Below are 23,150 nucleotides of genomic sequence, written 5' to 3' on the forward strand. Positions count from 1 at the left end.
CCGCCTCGGCCTCCCAAAGTACTGGAATTACAGGTGTGAGCCACCGTGCCTGGCCGATGAGATGATTTTTGGTGGTTCATGAATATGGGGTTGAAAAGTTCTGAAAAATGTAGTGGGAAAATTATTCCCTTTGCAATTTCAGTCCTTAGGAAGTCATAGAGAAAACCTCAATTTGGTATAATTGGTCTTTAGCACCTTTGGTATACATGCTCGTCTCTTATAACAAAAGGAGAGAGAGAGAGAGGGAGAGAGAGAGAGAGAGGGAGAGAGAGAGAACAAACCTCACATTCCAGCCATGGCTGGCAACAGCTTCTATCTAGACCAGGGTTTTTCAGCCTTGCCACTACTGACGTTTTGGATCTTGGATCACATCATTCCTTCCTGTAGGGAGCTGACCTGCACATCGTGGAATGTTTAGGAGCATCCCTGGCCTCTAACTATTAGATGCTAGTAGTACTGCAGCTACAGCTGTGACAATCAAAAATGCCAAATGTTCCCTGGAGGGCAAAACTGGCCTCAGTTGAGAACTGGTCTACACAAGTGCTGTCGCTGTCCAATAGAACTTTCTGTAGCGATAGAAATGCTCAAATTGGGTTGGGCATGGTGGCTCACGCCTGTAATCCTAGCACTTTGGGAGGCTGAGGTGGGTAGATCACTTGAGGTCAGGAGTTCAAGACCAGCCTGGCCAACATGGTGAAACCCCGTCTCTACTAAAAATACAAAAATTAGTTGGGCATGGTGGCGGGTGCTTGTAGTCCCAGCTACTCTGGAGGCTGAGACAGGAGAATCCCTTGAACCCAGGAGGCAGAGGTTGCAGTGAGCTGAGATCGTGCCAGTGCACTCCAGCCTGGGTGACAGGGTGAGACTCTGTCTCAAAAAACAACAAAAAAGAAATGCTCAAACTGGCGCTGTCCAATATGGTAGCTACTGACTATACATGGCTGTTGAGCACTTGGAATGTGGCTAGTGAGTCTGAGAAACTGAATTTTGTATTTTATTTTATTTTAATGAATTTAATTTTTTTTTGTTTTTTGAGACAGGGTCTTGCTCTGTTGCCCAGGCTGGAATGCAGTGGTGCAATCTCAGCTCACTGCAGCCTCAACCTCCCAGGCTCAAGCAATCCTTCTACCTCAGCCTCCTAAGTAGCTGAGACCACAGGCTCGCTCCACCACACCTACCTAATTTTTGTATTTTTTGTAGAAACAGGGTTTCATCATGTTGCCCAGGCTGGTCTTGAACTCCTGAGCTCAAGCGATTCTTCCGTCTCAGCTTTCCAAAGTGCTGGGATTACAGGTGTGAGCCACCATGCTGGGCTTGAATTTAAATTTAAATAGCCCCATATGGCTTATGTCTACCTTATGGGACAGTATAGCTCTAGATCTTGCATTTTTTTTTGTTTACTTTATGATAAGTGGTTTTCCACATAGAATAACAAAAATAAGCCTTTTTTAAAGATTATTTTATTTTCATTTATTTTATTTTTAGAGACAAGGTCTCACTCTGTCATCCAGGCTGGAGTGCAGTGGCATGATCATAGCTCATTGTAACCTCCAACTGATGGGCTTAAGTGATCCTTCCGCCTCAGATTCCCAAAGTGCTAGAATTACATACGTGAGCCACAAAATTATTTTAAGTTTTAAAAAAGTGAGTTGATTTGAAGAAAAATGTTAAACTGTGGTACAAGTGCTGTGCTGTGACAACTTGAATGTTTTTTGCTTCAAATGACAGAAGTCCCTATTTATTTATTTATTTATGAGATGGAGTCTCACTCTGTCACCCAGGCTGGAGTGCAGTGGCGCAATCTTGGCTCACTGCAACCTCCGCCTCCTGGGTTCAAGCAATTCTCCTGCCTCAGCCTCCTGAGTAGCTGGGATTATAGATGCACACCACCACACCCAGTTAATTTTTTATCTTTAGTACAGACAGAGTTTCACCATGTTGGCCAGGCTGGTCTCGAACTCCTGACCTCAAGTGATCCACCTGCCTTGGCCTCCCAAAGTGCTGGGATTACTGGCGTGAACTACTGTGCCAGGCCAGAAGTCCTCATTTAAATGGGCTTGAACAATTAGGAAATGTTCTGTCACAGTATGAGATGGTCAGAGGAGGGCGGCTCCAGGGTTTGTTGATGAGCAGCTCAGTAACGTGACCCGGAACCCAGGGTCTTTCCATCTCTGGTCTGCCTGCCTCAGCGAAGGGGCTTGTCGCCGTGGTGTCAGAATGTGGCAAGTGGCATCTGGATGTTCTTTCTGGGCCTTCCTTGTGGCTGTGAGCTCCTGGGCTGAGGCCTCGTCCCCGTTCCTGCAGGAGGGCACTGACAAGCTTGTCTTCCACAGCCACACCGGTGAGAAGCCCTTCCAGTGCATTGCATGTGGCCGTGCCTTTGCCCAGAAGTCTAATGTTAAGAAACACATGCAGACCCACAAGGTGTGGCCTCCAGGACACAGTGGTGGCACCGTGTCTCGAAACTCTGTGACCGTACAGGTCATGGCCCTGAACCCCAGCAGGCAGGAGGACGAGGAAAGCACAGGTGGGTGGAAGTAGGGAACGCCATGCTTCCCACACCTCTCTTCTGCCGCTTCACAGGTTTTATTGCTAGCTGTGTGACCTTGGGCAAACCCCATGACCTCTCTGGGCTTCAATCTACCTTTATCTATAAAATGTGGCATAAGATGAAAGGAAGGATGACAAACATACAACATGTGTGGCATTACTCTAATACTGTACCCATGGCAGACATCACTATTCAATCACCTACCCATTTTTTGCTGAGCCTGGATCTCACCTCAGAATCTTTTTTTTTTTTTAACTTATGAGTTATTTCTGGAATTTTCCATTTAATATTTTCAGACCATGATTGACTTTGGGTAATTGAAATCATGGAAAGCAAAACTGCAAGTAAGGGGAGACTACTATAAAATAAAAATTTATGATCCCCTACTGTTAAAATAAATGAATGAATAAATAAATAGGGGATAAAAGAAAGCCCTTTCTTTTTTTTTTTATTTTTACTTTAAGTTCTGGGATACATGTGCAGAACGTGCAGGTTTGTTACATAGGTATACGTGTGCCATGGTGGTTTGCTGCACGTATCACCCCATCATCTAGGTTTTAGGCCCTGCATGCATTCGGTATTTGTCCTAAGGCTCTCTCTCCCCTTGTCCCCAGCCCCCCGACAGGCCCTGGTATGTGATGTTCCCCTCCCTGTGTCCATGTGTTCTCATCGTTCAACTCCCACCTATGAGTGAGAACATACGGTGTTTGGTTTTCTGTTCCTGTGTTAGCTTGCTGAGAATGATGGTTTCCAGCTTCATCCATGTCCCTGCAAAGGACATGAACTCATTATTCTTTATGGCTGCATAGTATTCTATGGTATATATGTGCCACATTTAAAGAAAGCCCTTTCTTATAGTAAAATGTGAACTGATAAAAGTAGAAATAATGATTAAATTAGAAAATAACTATTTGACAGCCACCATAGTAATACAGTCACATGCTATGTAAGGATGTTTCCATGAGTAACAGATGGCATATGTGACAGTGGTCCCATAAAATTATAATGGAGCTGGAAATTTTCTGTCATCTAGTGACATTGTTGCCATTGTAAAATCATAGCACACTGCATTACCTTTTCTATGTTTAAGTTACATTCATTTAAAAAATTTTAGATTTAGAGGGTACATGTGCTTGTTTGTTACATGGGTATTAGATGCATAATGGTGGTGGCTGGGCTTCTAGTGTACCCATCACCCAAATACTAGACATTGTACCAACGGGTAGTTTTTCTTTTTTTGAGACAGAGTCTCACTCTGCCACCCAAGCTGGAGCGCAGTAGTGCTATCAGCTCACTGCAACCGCTGCCTTCCAAGCTCAAGTGATCCTCCTGCCTTAGCCTCCCGAGTAGCTGGGAATACAGGTGCCCTTTACCACACCTGGCTAATTTTCGTATTTTTAGTAGAGACAAGGCTTCACCATGTTGGCCAGGCTGGTCTCAAACTCCTGACCTCAAGTAATCCACCCACCTTGGCCTCCCAAAGTGCTGAGATTACGGACGTGAGCCACCATGCCTGGCTAACACGTAGTTTTTCAACCCTTGCCTTCCCTCACCATCCCTGCTCAGAATCTGTTTTCTATATGTTGCTCCAGGCAGTCACTGTAGTTGATCAGAAGTTGAAAGCTATTTGACCTCCAAGGTTAGTTGGTCTCCAAAGCTCTTTATACATGTGGGATTCTCATCATTTGTCCCTGAGCTAATGCTCCTATCCCTGATATTGATTTAGTTTCTTTCTTGCATGAGGACTGAGAACTTACTAGGTTTAGAGCAGCGCTGCCCAACAGAAATATAGTATGAACAACATATGTAATTTAAAATGTTCAGCCGGGCATGGTGGCTCACGCCTGTAATCCCAGCACTTTGGGAGGCTGAGGTGAGAGGATCTTTTGAGCTCAGGAGTTCAAGATCAGCCTGGGCAATATGGTAAAACCCATCTCTCTCTTTTTTTTTTTTTTTTTTTTCTGAGACGGAGTCTCACTCTGTTGCCCAGGCTGGAGTGCAGTGGCGCGATCTCAGCTCACTGCAAGCTCCGCCTCCTGGGTTCACGCCATTTTCCTGCCTCAGCCTCCCGAGTAGCTGGGACTACAGGCTCCCGCCACCATGCCCGGCTAATTTTTTTTGTATTTTTAGTAGAGAACGGTGTTTCACTGTGTTAGCCAGGATGGTCTCCATCTCCTGACCTCGTGATCCACTCACCTCGGCCTCCCAAAGTGCTGGGATTACAGGCGTGAGCCACTGCGCCTGGCCCCCATCTCTATTTAAACAAAAAGTTCTGTCTTTAATGGCAAAAATAATCTTAAATAAATAAATGAAATAAAATTTTCTAGTAGCTACATTAAAAGCAATTTTTAAAAAGATCAAATTAATTTTAATTATATATCTTATTTAACCATATATGTGTATGTGTGTATATATATATGTGTGTGTATATATATATGTATATATATGTGTGTGTGTGTATGTGTATATATATATATATATATTTTTTTTTTTTTTTTTTTTTTTTTTTTTGAGATGGAGTCTTGCTCTGTCGCCCAGGCTGGAGTGCAGTGGTGCGATCTTGGCTCAATGCAACCTCCACCTCCTGGTATTTAACCCGATATATTAACATTATTATTTTAACATATAATATAAAGATTGAATATACTTTATATTCTTTTTTTAATAAATTTTTGAAATCCAGCAGGTATATACACTTATAGCACATCTGGATATGGACTGGACACATTTCTTTCTGTTTTTTGTTTTGTTTTGTTTTGTTTTTTAGTTAGGGTCTCATTCTGTCACCCCAGACTGGAGTGCAGTGGTGCAATCATAACTCATTGTAGCCTCGAACTCCCGGACTCAAGTGATCCTCCCTCCTCAGCCTCCCAAGTAGCTGGGATGGGGGTGCACCACTGCGCCTGGCTAATTGTTAAAAATTGTTTTTGTAGAGACAGGGTCTTGCTTTGTTGCCCAGGCTGGTCTCAAACTCCTGAGCTCAAGTGATCCTCTCACCTCAGCCTCCCAAAGTACTGGAATTATAGGTGTGAGCCATCATGCCTGGTGCCACATTTCAAGTTCTCAGTAGCCACGTGTGGCTCAGGACCACTTTATTGGATAGTGTAAGGCCAGAGTCTAAGCCATTCCCATGTAGACCCAAGGGTGAGCAATGCCAGGCACATGCTAGGTAATGAAGGGAGTGTTTTGCTGGGAAAGCAATGTGTGACCACTTTTATCTGACCTTCCTTCAGGCTTCCTGTTGGAACTAGCCCTACTGTGTGCCTTCTGAGTTCTTGTGAACTCCTTTTTTTTTTCTTTAAAAAAAATTTTCTTTTGAGACAAGATCTTGCTCTGTCACCCAGGCTGGAGTGCAATGGCATGATGGTGGCTCCCTGCAGCCTCAACCTCCCGGGCTCAAGTGATCCTCCCACCTCAGCTTCCTGGGTAGGTGGGACCACCGACACATGCAACCATGCCCAGCTAATTTTGTTTATTTTTTGTAGAGATGGCGTCTCATTATGTTGCTGAGGCTGGTCTTGAACTCCTGGGTTCAAGGGATCCTCCTTCCTCGGCCTCCTAAAGTGCTGGGATTATAGGAATGAGCCATCACACGGCCCTAAAGAATAAATAATTTCTTCCATTTTTTTTGAAACTCCTTTAGTGCCTAGCACCAAAGGTTTAACCATTTAGCAAACATTTATAGAGGCCTACTATGTGCCAGGCCACTGGGCCTGCAGGGATGAGGCCAGAGGCCCCTGATGTCAAGGAAAGTGAGGAACAGTGTAGTGAGGGAAGGATGATGAAACAGATGATTACAATTTTTTTTGTTTGTTTGTTTGAAATGGAGTCTCACTCTTGTTGCCCAGGCTGGAGTGCAATGGCGCAATATTGGCTCACTGCGACCTCCACCTTCCGGGTTCAAGCAATTCTCCTGCCTCAGCCTCCCAAGTAGCTGGGATTACAGGTGTGCGTCACCACGCCCAGATAATTTTTTTGTATTTTTGGTAGAGACGGGGTTTCACCATGTTGGCCAGGCTGGTCTCGAACTCCTGAACTCAGGTGATCTGCCCGCCTTGGCCTCCCAAAGTGCTGGGATTACAGGTGTGAGCCACCGCACCTGGTGATGATTACAATTATTATTATTATTTTTTGAGACAGAATCTCACTCTGTCACCAAGGCTGGAGTGCAGGGGCACAATCTCTGCTCACTGCAGCCTCCGCCTCCCAGGTTCCAGTGATTCTCCTGCCTCAGCCTCCTGTGTAGCTGGGATTACAGGCACCCTCCACCACGCCTGGCTAATTTTTGTATTGTTAGTAGAGATGGGCTTTCACCATGTTGGGAAGGCTGATCTCGAACTTCTGACCTCAAGTGATCCGTCCGCCTTGACCTCCCAAGGTTCTGGGATTACAGGTGTGAGCCATCGCACCCGGCCAGATGATTACAATTAGAAGAGGGGACTGGGGAGGCATTAGGAGTACAACTAGGATGGTGTTTAGAATTTTTAACAACCATGGAGAGGTCTACAGTGTCTGAGGGGAAGGCCAGAGAGGGGAGGCTCGAGGCAGCAGCTGTTTCTCACTCAGAAAGGAAGCATTTCTGTATTTGAGCCTGGGAATGGCCGTACCAGTGCACAGCAGCTGAGTGTGAGTGCAGCACCTTAAGCACAGAGTCTGACCCAAAGCGAGTAGCAGGTGCCGGGTGAACACAGAGGAGCACGGAGTAGGGGTTCTGTGCATCCTTCCTGAATGGGCCGGCTCCTTGTCCTGACTTCCCTGGCTTTCTCCACAGGGTTGGGCCAGCCCCTGCCGGGTGCGCCACAGCCCCAGGCCTTGTCCACAGCTGGTGAGGAAGAGGGGGACAAGCCGGAGTCCAAGCAGGTGGTCCTCATCGACAGCTCCTACCTGTGCCAATTCTGCCCCAGCAAATTCAGCACCTACTTCCAGCTCAAGTCTCACATGACCCAGCATAAGAATGAGCAGGTAGGTGGATGGTGGCAGCAGGGGCCCACACCACACCAGTCGAAACCTTTCACTGGTGCTAGGGTCTTGAATGCTGCCTAGAAAGGGGTAGGAACCAGTGAGTCAGACCTTCCACGGCTCTATTCCCCCCGGGTTAGATTCCGAGCAGGGGATTGATGAAGTAAGGTTACCCTTGGGGCAAATCACAGAAAACTTTGACTCTCCTCCAGACCTGAGACAGCTGACTCCACCCAGCGTAAGGACTCTGTGTCTTTCCAGCTCTGGTCTCTGTCATCTCAGGGTGTGGCCTTGACCTCTCCTGATGGCTCACCTTGTACTCCTGTCCTGGGATGGTGATCACTTCTTTTTTTTTTTTTGAGACGGTTTTACTCTTCCGCCCAGGCTGGAGTGCAGTGGTGCGATCTCAGCTCACTGCAACCTCCACCTCCATGTTGGCCAGGCTGGTCTCGAACTCCTGACCTCAAGTGATCCACCCGCTTGGCCTCCCAAAGTGCTAGGATTATAGGCATGAGCCACTGTGTCTGGCTGGTGGTCACTCTTTCTAGGCACCAATCCAGAACCACTGTTATCCGTGAGCCAAAAGGGGTTATCTCTTCTTTATCTTTTATAGGAGCAAGAAAGCTTTTCCTAGAAGCACTTTGTAGATCTCTTTTTGGTGAAACCCAGTACATGTGCTCTATCATTTGACAATGCATTATTATGCTACAAATGATAGAAAACTGGCTTCTTAGGGTTTTATTTCTCTCACATTAAAGAAATTCAAAGAAGAAATCCCTAAGTAGGCAGCGTTGGGCTTATATAGAGCAGGTCAAATATGTCACCATAGACTCAGGCTTCTAGCTGTCTGATCTGCCATTCTTAGCTTATGGGCTTCATCCTCAAGGTTGCAGGATGGCTGCTATGTCTCCATACATCAAATGTGTATTCCAGTCAAGATAAACAGAAAGCAGAGGGAATTTCTCCTGGGAAGCTTTTGCCTTTGTGTTCTGGAAGTGATGCAGTCCTCAAAGACTACTGACTGTATATCGTTGGCTAGAAAGGAGTCACATGGTTGACACTAGATGCAAGGGAACCAGGATCAAGTGTTTTTTTTTTCCCCCCGAGGCAGTCTCACTCTGTCGCCCAGGCTGGAGTGCAATGGCACGATCTCGGCTTACTGCAACCTCCACCTCCCACGTTCAAGGGATTTTCCTGCCTCAGCCTCCTGAGTAGCTGGGATTACAGGTGCCCCCCACCACACCCAGCTAATTTTTGTATTTTTAGTAGAGACGGTGTTTCACCATGTTGGCCAGGCTGGTCCCGAATTCCTTACCTCAAGTGATCCACCCACCTCGGCCTCCCAGAGTGTTGGGATTACAGGTGTGAGCCACCGCGCCCAGCCCGTGTTTTTGTTTTTTTTTTAGACAGGGTCTCACTCTGTCACCAGGCTGGAGTTCAGTGGCTTCATCTCAGCTCACTGTAACCGCCACCTCCTGGGTTCAAGGGATTCTCCTGCCTCAGCCTCTTGAGTAGCTGGGATTACGTGCATGCACCACTACACCTGGCTAATTTTTGTGCTTTTAGTAGAGATGGGGTTTCACCATGTTGGCCAGGCTGGTCTCGAACTCCTGGGCTCAATTGATCTGCCTGCCTTGGCCTCCCAGCATGTTAGGATTACAGGCATGAGCCACCACGCCCGGCCTGGATCAAGTGTTTTAACTAGGTATGTTGCTATTCTGAGCAAATCAGGGTTCACTTTTTTAGGTAGAAGGAGTGCATGATATTGTGTAGGCAACCAGGACTTACGTACTATTTATCAAAGTATGATTTTCGAGATGTTAAAAACATACTTCTCATACAAATGAGGCCTGAAAGTGAGTCAGAATTTTACTTAACTCATTAGTGAGGAAACCCAAAGGAAGACAAAGCCTGTTCAACAGAGGCCATGGATAGCTATGCCTAATAACTGTCAATGAAAAAAAGAGATACTGAAGTCAGATTGTCAAATTACATACAAATCTGGTTAATGTCCTGCAAGACAACAAAACCTGTGACCTTTGGGGTTATCTTCTCTATCTGACAAAAATCAATTACGTTGGATTAGTTTTTTACAAATTAACAAATTAACATTTAACTGTAGAGTCCTAGTCAATGGAAAGTAGTCAGAAGTAGCCACATCCTGTAGAGAGTGTGATGACTGTGGGCCGGCTATAGGCAGGCTCCTTAGACAGCAGTTCTCAAAGTCCCAGGCCAGCAGCACCAGCATCCCCTGAGGATTTCTCGTTAGTGATGCACATATTCAGACCCACTAAGTCAGATTTCTCAGGGCCAGGGAGGGGGTGAAGGGGTGGTGGTGGGGGGGGGGGCAGTGGGAGGGGTGGCGGGGGCACAGCCCTCAGCAACCTGTAATTCTGAGGCCTGCTCCAGTTTGAGAGCCGGTATTCCAGTATGACATTGAAAGGGTATACACTGTCATCTTTTCACTGTATTTCCAGGTCTTGAATAATTTTTCTAAATATACCTATGCCACACAGAGCCTGAGGGAAGGGTAATAGGGCCATCACGACTGGCTGAGAGGAGGGAACCCTCTAATCAAGTTAAAACAAGGGGCTGGGCACAGTGGCTCATGCCTGTAATCCCATCACTTTGGGAGCCCAAGGCGGGTGGATCACTTGAGGTCAGGAGTTCGAGACCAGCCTGGCCAATGTGGTGAAACCCCGTCTCTACTAAAAATACAAAAATTAGCTGGGCATGGTGGTGTGCACCTGTAATCCCAGCTACTGGGGAGGCTGAGGCAGGAGAATCGCTTGAACCTGTGAAGTGGAGGTTGCAGTGAGCCGAGATTGTACCACTGCACTCCAGCCTGGGCGATAGAGTGCGACTCAGTCTCAAAAATGAATGAATGAATGAATAAAAACCCTGGGATCCAGTAGCAGCAGGGGGGCAGAGGGAGCAGTGGTCAGATCATTTACCATCAGTGTCCAAGGCCAATGCCACAGGCCAGGGGCTGCAGTGGAGGAAGCTCTCCTGCCTCCTGTCACCTGCCCAGCGTCTTCCCTCAAGGTGTACAAGTGTGTGGTCAAAAGCTGTGCCCAGACGTTCCCAAAGCTCGACACATTTCTGGAGCACATCAAGAGCCACCAGGAGGAGCTGAGCTACCGCTGCCACCTCTGCGGCAAGGACTTCCCCTCGCTGTACGACCTGGGCGTGCACCAGTACTCCCACAGCCTCCTGCCACAGCACAGCCCCAAGAAGGACAATGCCGTCTACAAGTAAGTGCCTCCTGCTTCCCTCTCCCTGGGTGGACGGGTGGGTGGGCAGGGAGCCCAGGGCCTGTGGCCTTGGTGGTTCTGACTGCTTAGGACCAGTGAGATATTTGAAAGGAGAAACCGAGGCTCCTGGCTGGGGTCCAGCCTGGCAGAGTGGGTTCTGGGCTTTGGCACTGGTGGAAGAAAGGATGCTGGCTCTCCTTATATCATTCTTATGTCTTGGCAGACATTTTTCCCAAAAAAAAATCCTTAAAAAGAGGAACCTATATTTCCTTGTTCATAGTGGGAAAAGGTTTGAGCATTTTATTCCAAACTAAACAATTATGACAGTATTATTTTGTCTCATAATCTACAAAATTTAGCTTACAGTCAAAGCGGTACACCGGTTCTTAACAATTAAAAAAGAATGGGCAGGGTGTGGCGGCCCACATCTGTAACCCCAGTACTTTGGGAGGCCAAGGCAGAAGGAGGCCAGGAGTTTGAGACCAGCCTGGCAACATAATGAGACCCCATCTCTACAAAATAAAATACATTTTAAAATGAACAGTTGGCTGGGCGTGGTGGCTCACACCTGTAATCCCAGCACTTTGGGAGGCTGAGGCGGGCAGATGATGAGGTCAGGAGATGGAGACCATCCTGGCTAACACGGTGAAACCCCGTCTCTACTAAAAATACAAAAAAAATTAGCCGGGCGTGGTGGTGGGCGCCTGTAGTCCCAGCTACTTGGGAGGCTGAGGCAGGAGAATGACGTGAACCCGGGAGGCAGAGCTTGCAGTGAGCTGAGACCGTGTCACTGCACTCCAGCCTGGGCGACAGAGCAACACTCCGTCTCAAAAAAAATAAAATACAATAAAATGAACGGTAACATGTTTAAAAGCAAAGATCATAAAAATAATATTCATTTGTTTTATAATCTATAAGATCTAGGTTAAAGTTGAAGCTATATGCTGATTCCTATTTTTATTTTATTTTTTTCTTTGAGATGGGGTTTTGCTCTGTTGCCCAGGTTGGAGTCCAGTGGCACCATCACAGCTCACTGCAGCCTCCCCGGGCTCAGGTGATCCTCCCACCTCAGCCACCTGAGTAGCTGGGACTAACAGGCATGTGCCCCACGCCCAGCTAATTTTTGTATTTTTTGTAGAGACGGGGTTTCGCCATGTTGCTCAGGCTGGTCTTGAATTCCTGGACTCAAGTGATCCTCCCACCTTAGCCTCCCAAAATGCTAGGATTACAGGCGTGAGCCACTGTGCCCAGCCTATATGATGATTCTTAGAATGAACAAGGGATGGATCAGGTATGGATTTTATTGGGGTAATTTATTCTGATAATCATTTATATCACTTCAGTCTTCCATTGTGGTCATGAAGAGGGTCCCTTTGGCAGAAATGATGAAAGGTTTCCTCAGTTTTGCAACATGCTTTTTATCCTTAGATCTTCATGTTAAAGCAGGGCACAGTGGCTCACGCCTATAATCCTAGCATTTGGGGAGGCTGAGGTGGGAGGATGGCTTGAGCCCAGGAGTTTGAAACCAGTCTGGGCAACATAGCAAGACCTTGTCTCAACAAAAATAGAAAAATTAGCCAGGTGTGTTGGCACGCACCCGTAGTCCCAGCTACTCAGGAGGCTGAGATGGTAGGATTGCTTGAGCCCAGGAGGTTAAGGCTGCTGTGAGCCATCATCGCGCCACTGCACTCAGCCTGAGCGACAGAGACGCTTGTCTTAAAAAAAAAAAAAAAAAAAAAAAAAGATCTTCACGTCATTCTCTTTGGACCTATTGACCTCTGATCATCCTTGTTGAGTTTCTCTGCCTCAGTTGTTTTCTGGTCTGTTTTGCCAGGTCTTCCTTTGTTGATGGTGTTATTTGCAGTTGTGCAACATCACTTTGATGATGTCATGAAATCCCCCATCTGCAGTCATTTTGCTGTACATTTGCCTGCATCATCTGGGAGCACCTGCCTCACAAAACCCATGGGGGTAGATAGTAGCAAAAGGCCAGGAGTGGTGTTTGTGTGGGGCCTCCTTCCAGTTCATTAGCAAATATTTTCCCATTACAGTGGTTTTTGCTTCTCTGTACAAACTTGTACCTGCAGAGATTTGGTGTTTCTGTTAATGAGGCCCCTGTAACTCCTGGGTGAAGCTTCTGGGGTTCAGAGATAAGTAAATACCTTGAGCTTAAAATGCATGGGCTGCTCAGGGTGACTGGTGTGTAAACAAATGCACCCTATCACTTGATAAAATGCTATCATATATGTTTATAAGGTATAGAGATACCACAGGGGAGGCAGGCTAGAGAAGCTGTCCCAAGAGCAGTGACATCTGAACTGAGTTTTGAAGGATGAATAGGAGTTTGCCAGGTAGACAATGGATGGAGTGTGTTCCTATCAGGAGGAACCGCAAGTTTAAAATACAACAGCAAGTGATGTATTAATAGAATGACTGTTATGTGGAGTGGAAGCGGGAGGGAGATGTTTAGATGGGGCCTATGGGAAAAAGTGGGGCCAAGGCATGAAGGGCCACGTAGAAATCACAAGAGCTCTGAGAAGTTGGCAGAGGAGCTAGAACTCAAGAAATGGGGTGTAGGGTAACTTGCCCCCAAGACTCTGGGAAATGGGGCAAGAGAGGCAGGGAAGCTGGGCAAAGCTTTGGCCAGCCAAGGGGCAGAGATTTCTGGCAGTGATGACTTATTCCCGTTTGCACTTGATAAATTTTCTTTGGCTCTTGCCCTTCTGATTTGTGGATTATCTGTGAGTTCCTGTGGCTGTGTGACTCTGGAGTGAGATGCCAAGTAAAGGGAAGGAAGCACCTGCTCTGTGCCAAGCTTTGCCTTTAGTGACATGAATCCCTGCAGCCCTGGGAGGTAGGTGATATTCTCCCCATTTTGAAGATGAAGACACTGAGGTTCAAAGAGAAGTGACCTGCCCACCAGAGTAACAACATCAGCAGAGTTTAGATTCGAACCCTAGTGTGAGATCTTGGAAGCCTCATAGCCCTGGTCTTGGAGTTTGCAGGTTGAAGATTGAGCCCGATGCTGATGACCCTGTGCAGTCCCCTTGCAGGGTCATAGTGCCAGTGGCCCTTTGTAGACATTGGAGCTGTTGTCCTGTCCCAAAAGTAAGGCCCAATGAGCCAGGCCCCCATTTGGATGGCCTGAAGGTGGAATGGTGTCATGGGTAGTGATAAGGGTTCTGGAGCCATTGGCCTGTGCTTAAATCCTGTCTTGACTGCAAATCCAGTGGATGACCTTGGGCAAGGTATTCAGCCACTCTGAGCCTCGGTTTTCTCCTCTGTGAAATGGGGATCACAGTAGTGCCTGCCCTACTGGATTATTTATAAGGATCAAGTAAGACAAGGCTGAGGCTCTTAGACATGGTACCTGGAACATAGTAGGTACTCAATAAATGTTATTGCTACAATTATTATTATTTGTGTTATTTAAGTAGAAGTTTGGCTGCATGCAGTAGAAACCTCAAATAACAGTGACTTATACACCATGAGAGTTGATTCTGTCTCATAGTGACATTTGAGTGGCTGTGGTGGCTTCATCATATCTTTAGAAGTCCAAGCCCTGTCATTCTGGTTTCTGTTCCCTGTCAGCCACATTGCCTTGGCCTGCCTATGTGTACTTTCCCCAAACCTCTCAAATGACTTTTAGTCATGCCACTATATCTTTACTGTATGTTTAATATTTCCTTTTAAAAAATAAGATTTGGCTGGGTGCAGTGGCTCACTCTTGTAATCCCAGCACTTTGGGAGTCCGAGGAGGGCAGATCACTTGAGGTCAGGAGTTTGAGACCAGCCTGGCCAACACAGTGAAACCCTGTCTCTACTAAAAAAAAAAAAAAAAAAAAAAAAATTAGCTGGGTGTGGTGGCACACTCCTGTAGTCCCAGCCACTCCGGAGCCTGAGGCAGGAGAATCGCTCAAACTCGGGAGGTGGAGGTTGCAGTGAGCCAAGATTGTGCCACTGCACTCCATCCAGCCTGGGTGACAGAGAGAGAGACTCCGTCTCAAAAAAGAAAAAAGAGAAAAATAAGATTTATTGATTTTTTCCCCCAATTGCAAAAGTCAATGTTCAATGCAGAGAAAACAATTTTGTAAAAACCCACACAAAAACAAAAAACCAAAACTGTCACCCAGAGATCGCCACTGCACTATTAACCTCTTGGTGGATATCCTTTGGCATATATGTGTAATAAATATGTTTACAGATATGGATACAGATATAAATATCACAGACTATATTTGAGTCAGGTGATGCCAAATAGAGTCACTGAATTTGGTGAAAATTCATCACACTGTCTTCCTGTAGCGCAATGTCCAACAAACAGACTGATTTAATGGGATCACTGCACATGTGGTTTTATCACTTAAAACTTTTTCACTTAAAACAGTAATATAGCTGGGCATGGTGGCTTATGCCTGTAATCCTAGCACTGTGGGAGGCCGAGGCAGGCAGATCACTTGAGGCCAGGAGTTCAAAACCAGCCTGAGCAACATGATGAAACCTTGCCTGTACAAAAAATACAAAAATTAGCCAGGCATGGTGGCATGTGCCTGTAGTCCCAGTTACTTGGGAGGCTGAGCTGGATTGCTTGAGTCCAGGAGTTCAAGGCTGCAGTGAGCCGTGATCATGCCACTGCACTCGTGAGACCCTGTCTCGGGGAAAAACAAAAACATCAGTAATATGGACATCTTTGCATTTCAGCAACAATAGACCTGCCTCATTCTTTAAACAGCTACTTTGTATTCCATTGTGCATGGTGTACTGTGATTTACTTCTGTCATCTCCCATTGTTGGTTAGTGAGGTTATTTTCAGTTTGTCATCAGTATAACAATTATACAGGGAACAACTTCGGAAGTACATCTTTGCTCTTTTCTAAGTTCCTAGAAGTGATTTTGCAGGTCAGAGTTGAAAGGGTTTTGTTTTTTTTTTTTTTTGAGATGGAGTCTCGCTCTGTTGCCCAGGCTGGAGTGCAATGGCAGGATCTCAGCTCACTACAACCTTCGCCTCCCAGGTTCAAGTGATTCTCCTGCCTCAGCCTTTCTAGTAGCTGCGACTACAAGGCACCTGCCACCATGCCCCGCTAATTTTTTGTATTTTTAGTAGAGACGGGGTTTCACCATGTTAGCCAGGATGGTCTCGATCCCTGACCTCGTGATCTACCCACCTCGGCCTCCCAAAGTGCTAGGATTACAGGTGTGAGCCACCGTGCCCGGCCTTTTTTTTTTTTTTTTAAAGATTAATTATCTACTTCAAAAACTATATGTATACAGTGCAATATTGTAAAACTATCACAGGACATAGAGTGAACAGGAATTCTCCATCCACTGTGACCCACTTCCCCATATCACGGGCAATCATGTTCGAAAAGTGTTCTTTGTAAACCTCTTATTTTGTCATAATTTTATTATTGATTGATTGATTTTTGAGACAGGATCTTGCTCAGTCACCCAGGCTGGAGTACAGTGGCACAATCATGGCTTGCTGTAGCCTTGACTTCCCTGGCTCAAACAATCCATCCCCCTCAGCCTCCTGAGTAGCTGGGACTACAGGTGTGTGCCACCACTGCCAGCTAATTTTGGTATTTTTTGTAGAGACAGGGTCTTGCTATATTGCCCAGGCTGGCCTAGAACTCCAAGGCTCAAGCAATCCACCCTCCTCAGCCTCCCAAAGTACTAGGATTACAGGCATAAGCCACCATGCCTGGCCTTCAATATATGTGTTTTAAAGCTTTCCTTTGTTTCATGAATTTAACTTATGTATGTATTTTAATTTTAATATAATTAATTAATTAATTTTTTGTTTAGAGACAGGGTCTCACTCCATCACCAAGGCTGGAAAGCAGTGGCATGATCATGGCTCACTGCAGCCTTGACCCTTGACCTCCCCAGTCTCAGGTGATTCTCCCACCTCAGCCTCCTGGGTAGCTGGGACTACAAGCATGCACCACCATGCCCATCTGATTTTTTTTTTTAAACTTTTTGTAGAAACAGGGTTTCGCCATATTGCTCAGGCTTGTCTCAAATTCCTGGGCTCAAGTGATCCTCCTACCTTGGCCTCCCAAAGTGCTGGGATTACAGGCATGAGCCACTGCACCTGGCCTTTTTTTTTTTTTGAGACAGGATCTCACTCTGTCACCCAGGCTAGAGCACAGTAGCATGATCACAGCTCACTGCAGCCTTCGCCTCCGGGGCTCAAGCAATCCTCCAGCTCAGCCTCCTGAGTAGCTGGGACCACAGGTGTGTGCCACCAGGCCTGGCTAATTTTTTATTTTTTATAAAGATGGAATTTCACCATGTTGACCAGACTGGTCTGGAACTCCTGGGCTCAAGCGGTCCACCTGCCTTGTTCTCCCAAAGGTCTGGGATTATAGGCGTGAGCCACACACCTGGCCAATTTTTATTTTTTTAGAGACAGAGTCTCACTGTGTTGTCCAGTCTAGAGTGCATCAGCTATTCACAGGTGTGGTCGCCTTGCCTCAGCCTCCCCAGTAGCTAGGACTACAGGCAGGCGCCATCACTCCTAGGTAAATTTGTTTGTTTGTTTGTTTGTAGAGACAGGGTCTTACTGTGTTGCCCAGGCTGGTCTTGAACTCCTGGCCTCAAGTGATCCTCCTGCCTGGCCTTCCCAAAGTGCTGGGATTACAGGCGTAAGCCATCACACCTGGCCTGTATTTCCTAAAAACAAGGATAACCTCTTCCATAAGGGCAATATACTATAGTTACCAAAATCAGGAAGTTGGGCTCTGTGCGGTGGCTCATGCCTGTAATCCCAGCACTTTGGGAGGCTGAGGTAGACAGATTGCTTGAGCCCAGAAGTTTGAGACCAACCTGGACTACGTGGCAAAACCCCGTCTTTACCAAAAAAAAAAAAAAAAAAAAAAAGAGGTGGGTATGGTAGCATATGCCTGTGGTCTCAGCTGCTCAGGAGGCTGAGGCAGAAGAATTGCTTTAGCCCGGGAGGTACAGGTTGCAGTGAGCTGAGATCGCACCACTGCACTCCCGCCTGAAGGACAGAGTGAGACCCTATCTCAAAAAAAAAAAAAAAAAAAAAAAAAAATCAGGCCAGGTGCGGTGGCTCACACCTGTAATCCCAACACTTTGGGAGGCTGAGGTGGGCGGATCACCTGAAGTCAGGAGTTCGAGACCAGCCTGGCCAACATGGCGAAATGCCGTATCTACTAAATTATAAAAATTAGCTGGGTGTGGTGGCGGGCACCTGTATTCCCAGTTACTTGGGAGGCTGAGGCAGGAGAATCCCTTGAACCTGGGAGACGGAAGTTGCAGTGAGCCGAGATCGGGCCACTGCACTCCAGCCTGGGTGACAGAGCGAGACTCTTGTCTCAAAAAAAAAAAAAAAGAAGAAAAAGAAATCAGGAAGTTAATATCAGTACAATTCTATTATCTAATTACAGGCCTTACTCAGAATTTTCCAATTGTTCCAATAACATGCTTTAGAGAAAAAGAAAAAAAAGGTTTTTTTGAACCAGAATCACATGTTGAATTCAGTTGTCATGTCTCTCTCGTCTCTCTTGTGTCCTATAAGCTGGAACAGTTCCTCCTTCTGTCTTTGTCTTCGAGACCTTGATATTTCTGAAGAGTATAGACAGGTTATTCTGTAGAATGTCCTCAGTTTGGGTTTGCCTGATTTTACCCTATGATTAAATTCAGGTCATGCACTTTTGTCAGGAATGTCACAACAAATACTGTGTCCTCCTCCGTGTGTCATATCAGGAGGCATGTGATGTTGATTTGCTCTATTACTGGTGATGTTACCTTGGATGACTTAATTCAGGTGCTGTTTCTGGCAGGAGATTTTAATTTTCCTGGCTATTGGTAAACAATCTCTGACACAAATCTATGTCTCCCCCAAACCCAGCCCCTGAAGCATGTGAGATTCTGTCCTTTCCCATCTCACCAGCTAGTTAAGTCTCTGCCCTCCTGGTACCTCTGCTCCCACCCCACCTTCCCTTTCTTGCTGCCTGGAGGCATTTAGTATGTGGCTTCTTTCTTTTTCTTTTCTTTTTTTATTTTTTTTGAGACAGAGTCTCTCTCCGTCACCCAGGCTGAAGTGCAGTGGCATGATCTTGGCTCACCGCAACCTCTGCCCTCCTGGGTTCAAGTGATTCTTGTGCCTCAGCCTCCTGAGTAGCTGGGATTACAGGTGTGAGCCACCACACCTGGCTAATTTTTGTATTTTTAGTAAAGACGGCATTTCTCCATGTTGGCCAGGTTGGTCTCGAACTCCTGACCTTAAGTGATCCGCCCACCTCGGCCTCCCAAAGTGCTGGGATTACAGGCATGAGCCACCGCGCCTGGCTAGTGTGTGGTTTCAGAGTGCGCCTGGCTAGTGTGTAGTTTCAGAGTGCGGTCTATGGGGCTCCCCTGGGCCCTTCGCAGGTGCAGCCTGCCTGGGGTTTCCCACAGGCAGTACTCTACACAGCCTGCCTTTTGGTTTTTGCTTTGAATTGTTCACCTACCTGTGACATTCCTCACTGATAACTCATTGTAAATAGGTCAATATGCTGGCAAATGTTTTCTTTTTTCTTTTCTTTTTTTGTCTGATAATACCCTTTCTTCCTTAGCTGGCACATGTTTTCATGATGGGGAGATGGTGGTGTCTTTTCTCCCTTCAGAGTGGTTGGTGGCCTGAGACTGCTGTTGTGAGGACATGTTTATGAGCTGTTTGGCACAGTTGTGTTTTTTGACTCTGTATTAGGCCATTCTTGCACTGCTATAAAGAAATACCTGAGACTGGGTAATTTATAAGAAAAGAGGCTTATTTGACTCACGGTTCAGCAGGCTGTACAGGAAGCATAGTGTCTGAGCTAGCAGATCTGCCACTGGGGAGGCCTCAGGAGGCTTTTACTCATGGCAGGAGGAGAAGGGGAAGTAGACATGTCACATGGCCAGAGCAGGAGCCAGATAGAGAGAGAGGGAGGCGCCATACACTTTTAAACAGCTAGATCTCATGAGAACTCACTCACTATCCTGAGGACTGCACCAAGGGGATGGTCCTAAACCATTCATGAGAAATCCACCCCCATGATCCAATCACCTCCCACCAGAACTCACCTCCAGCACTGGGGATTATAGTTCAACATGAGATTTAGGTGGGGACACAGATACAAACTATGTCAGACTCTGTGACAATCTCCCTTTTTTTTTTTTTTTTTTTTGAGATGGAGTCTCACTGTGTCGCCCAGGCTGGAGTGCAGTAGCGTGATCTCAGCTCACTGCATCCTGCATCTCCCAGGTTCAAGTGATTCTCCTGCCTCAGCCTCCTGAGTAGCTGGGGTTACAGGCAGGTGCCACCACGCCTGGCTAATGTTTGTATTTTTAGTAGAGACAGGGTTTCACCGTATTGGCCAGGCTGGTCTTGAACTCCTGACCTCAGGTGATCTGCCCACCTCAGCCTCCCAAAGTGCTGGGATTACAGGCATGAGGCACTGCATCCAGCCATGTGACAATTGTAAGAATGAGTGACAGGCAGGTCTGTTTGGGACTCACACCCCATATTTTGAATGAGGAGGCCCAGCAGGTCAGAAATGGGAAGGCGCTGGGCTTGGATCCCCATCTGTCTGACTCTTTAATGTAACAAGTTCTCACTGGTGCTGGGAGCAGCTTGTGAATGGGCAAGATGTGGTATCTGGAACAGGGACCACTTGCTAGTGGAGGAGACAGACAATAACCAAGTAAGCAAATAATAAATAATTCCAGGTAAGAAGTGGTAAGAAGAAAATAAAACTGAGTGATGTAATAGGGAGTGACTGGGAGTGCATCGTGGGGGGCAACTTGAGACAGGGTGGCCAGGAGGGCCTCTTTGGGGAGGTGACATTTGAGCTGAGATATGAAGGATGAGAAGGCACTGCCTGGGGAAGACTTGGGGAAGAGTGTTCCGGGGAACAGGAACAGCCAGTGCCAAGGCCCTGAGGTGGGAATGAGCCTGGTGTGTTCAAGGTAGGTCAAGGAGGCCAGGGTGGCCAGAGCAGAGTGAGTGAGGTGGAGAAAGGAGAAGGATGAGGTCTGAGAGGTGGGAGTGGGTCAGACCACAGGGCCTTGTAGGCCAAGGTGGGAGGTGGGTTAAGCAATGGTGTGGCATGGTCTGACTTACTTTTTTTTTTTGTTTCTTTTTTGAGACAGAGTCTCACTCTGCCGCCCAGGCTGGAGTGCAGTGGTGCGATCTCGGCTCACTGCAACCTCCGCCTCCTGGGTTTAAGTGATTCTCCTGACTCAGTCTCCTGAGTAGCTGGGATTACAGGTCCACGCTACCACGCCTGGCTAATTTTTGTATTTTTAGTAGAGAGACGGGGTTTCATCATGTTGGCCAGGCTGGTCTCAAACTCCTGACCTCAGGTGATGCGCCTGCCTCGGCCTCCCGAAGTACTGGGATTACAGGTGTGAGTCACCACACCAGGCCTTTTTTTTTTTTTCTTATTTAAATAGAGACAGGTTCTCTTTCTGTTACCCAGGCTGGAGTGTAGTGGCATAATCATGGCTCACTGTAACTTCAAAACCCCTGGGCTTAAGCGATCCTCCTGCCTTAGCCTCTTGAGTAGCTGGGAAGCCACCACATCTAGCTAATTTTTAAATTTTTCATAGGGATAGGGGTCTTGCCATGTTGCCCAGGCTGATTTTGAACTCCTGGTCTCAAACAATCCTCTCACCTTGGCCTCCTAAAGTATTGGGATTGCAGGTGTGAGCCAGCCACTGTGCTCAGCCTGTTTCATTTTTAAAGGTGCCCCTGGCCACCCTGTGGAGAATGGACTACAGGAGGCAAGGCAGGGGCAGGGTGGCCAGCGAGGAGGCTACTGCACAAGTCCGAACAAGAGATGATGGCGCTCAGATGAGGACAGGCAGTGGCAATTGAGAAGAGTGGATGGATTTGGAATGAATTAACTGTAGGATGTTGCCTCCTAATGTTGGCCCTGGGGTGGCCGGGGCGCTGCTTCCTATGCCTGCTGTGTTTCCTCCCTCATCTCTCCTGCTCCTTCCACTTAGGTGTGTCAAATGTGTCAACAAATACTCCACCCCTGAGGCCCTGGAGCACCACCTGCAGACCGCCACTCACAACTTCCCCTGCCCACACTGCCAGAAGGTGGGTGCCACTGTCCTCTTTTCTGGGGCCTAGGCTATAATAAGGGCAAGGAGGTGGGGTGGGGTGCACACCTCACCCTTTCCTTCTCCTCTCTCACCATAGGACACGCAGGCAGGGCTCAGGGGCTGCTCCACAGATGACACAGTGTCTCTGCCTGGCCATCTCATCCATCACATTCCAGATGTGGCCATGTCGGGGCTGCTGCTGGAGCCAGGCTGGGTGGGCTGTCCTGGTCCCAGGCCTAGTGTCTGAGCAGAAGCCTCCCAGCTTCCTGATGTAAGATTATCCTTATTACAATTGGCTCTTCTTTTTAATTTTTTTTTTTTTTTGAGACAGGGTCTTACTCTGTCACCAGGCTAGTGTGCAGTGGTTTGATCATGGCTCACCGCAGCCTCAACCTCCTGGGCTCAGCCCCCTGAGTAGCTGGGACTATAGGCATGTGCCACCATGCCCAGCTAATTTTTGTATTTTTTATAGAGATGGAGTTTCACCGTGTTGCCCAGGCTGGTCTCAAACTCCTGGGCTTAAGGGACCTGTCCACCTTGACCTCCCAAAGTGCTGGGATTACACGCATGAGCCACTGCACCCAGCCTAAATTTTTTGTAGAGATAGGGCTCACTATGTTACCCAGGCTGGTCTCAAACTCTTGGCCTCAAGTGATCCTCCCACCTCAGACTCCCAGAGTGTTGGGATTACAGGTATGAGCCATCATGCCCAGCCTGGATTCTTCTTTTCAGTGACTCTGAAAGCCTCACTAAAGCCTGTTCCTGATAACATCAAACATCCAGGAAGTGTTCCAATTTCTAGTTGTCTCAAAGCTTCATCATTTTGTAAAGTTCATTTGAATCAGGTCCATAGATTGCAATTGATTGACATAACAAAAGCCTCTATTAATCTACAGGTCCCCACCACCACCCCTGACCACTGCTCCCTTTTTTCTTTCCTCTGAATTTATTTGTTGAAGAAACTGGGCCATTTGGTTCAGCGGTGTTCCCCGCAGTCTGGATTTTGCTGATTACGTCTCCCTGGTGTGTTTAACTTGCTTCTTCACTCTACTCATTTTCTTACAACCATATGTGGCAGATTTTCCAGGACAGCCCTGGTTTCATTTTGGCCTCATTCTGGATGTTTCTTATTATCTAACCTAATTTTAAGCTTTAGAAGTTGTGGTCCGAGTAAAAGATACCATGAATTGAGCAAGAACCACATGCCAGATGCTGTTCTGAGCATTTCACTGGAATTGACTAGAGGATAGGTGTACTGTTACTATCCCCCTTTATAGGTGGGGAAA

The 23,150-nt window shown here is 46.9% G+C and overlaps 1 protein-coding gene across 4 annotated transcripts in view, besides 5 other annotated features; it reads left to right on the top strand.

The window, feature by feature from the left end:
- ZNF341 (zinc finger protein 341) overlaps positions 1-23,150 on the top strand; it is a 60,274-nt gene that overhangs the window by 27,533 nt on the left and 9,591 nt on the right. For 3 of the 4 annotated variants that reach the window (NM_001282933.2, NM_032819.5, NM_001282935.2), the window contains 4 exons: positions 2,334-2,527; positions 7,323-7,513; positions 10,556-10,764; positions 21,763-21,859. In NM_001282933.2, the coding sequence (NP_001269862.1) occupies positions 2,334-2,527; positions 7,323-7,513; positions 10,556-10,764; positions 21,763-21,859 (691 nt within the window). The remainder of the gene's footprint in view (positions 1-2,333; positions 2,528-7,322; positions 7,514-10,555; positions 10,765-21,762; positions 21,860-23,150) is intronic. The other variant, NR_104259.2, reaches the window with a different exon arrangement.
- Positions 1,857-2,358: an enhancer, noted in NCBI's record as "H3K4me1 hESC enhancer chr20:32349191-32349692 (GRCh37/hg19 assembly coordinates)". NCBI's record gives its function as "activates a minimal SCP1, AML or CMV promoter by ChIP-STARR-seq in naive H9 embryonic stem cells {active_cell/tissue: H9 hESC(naive)}" and the evidence as "EXISTENCE:reporter gene assay evidence [ECO:0000049][PMID:30033119]".
- Positions 13,984-14,053: an enhancer, noted in NCBI's record as "active region_17745". NCBI's record gives its function as "activates an Ori minimal core promoter by ATAC-STARR-seq in GM12878 lymphoblastoid cells {active_cell/tissue: GM12878}" and the evidence as "EXISTENCE:reporter gene assay evidence [ECO:0000049][PMID:35858748]".
- Positions 19,070-19,119: a silencer, noted in NCBI's record as "silent region_12822". NCBI's record gives its function as "represses an Ori minimal core promoter by ATAC-STARR-seq in GM12878 lymphoblastoid cells {active_cell/tissue: GM12878}" and the evidence as "EXISTENCE:reporter gene assay evidence [ECO:0000049][PMID:35858748]".
- Positions 19,210-19,499: an enhancer, noted in NCBI's record as "active region_17746". NCBI's record gives its function as "activates an Ori minimal core promoter by ATAC-STARR-seq in GM12878 lymphoblastoid cells {active_cell/tissue: GM12878}" and the evidence as "EXISTENCE:reporter gene assay evidence [ECO:0000049][PMID:35858748]".
- Positions 19,535-19,829: an enhancer, noted in NCBI's record as "tiled region #4652; K562 Activating DNase matched - State 5:Enh, and HepG2 Activating non-DNase unmatched - State 7:EnhWF". NCBI's record gives its function as "activates a minimal TATA promoter and a strong SV40 promoter by Sharpr-MPRA in K562 cells, with weak activation in HepG2 cells {active_cell/tissue: HepG2 | K562}" and the evidence as "EXISTENCE:reporter gene assay evidence [ECO:0000049][PMID:27701403]".

This window comes from Homo sapiens, chromosome 20 (genome assembly GCF_000001405.40).
Source record: "Homo sapiens chromosome 20, GRCh38.p14 Primary Assembly".
Taxonomy (NCBI): Eukaryota; Metazoa; Chordata; class Mammalia; order Primates; family Hominidae; genus Homo; species Homo sapiens.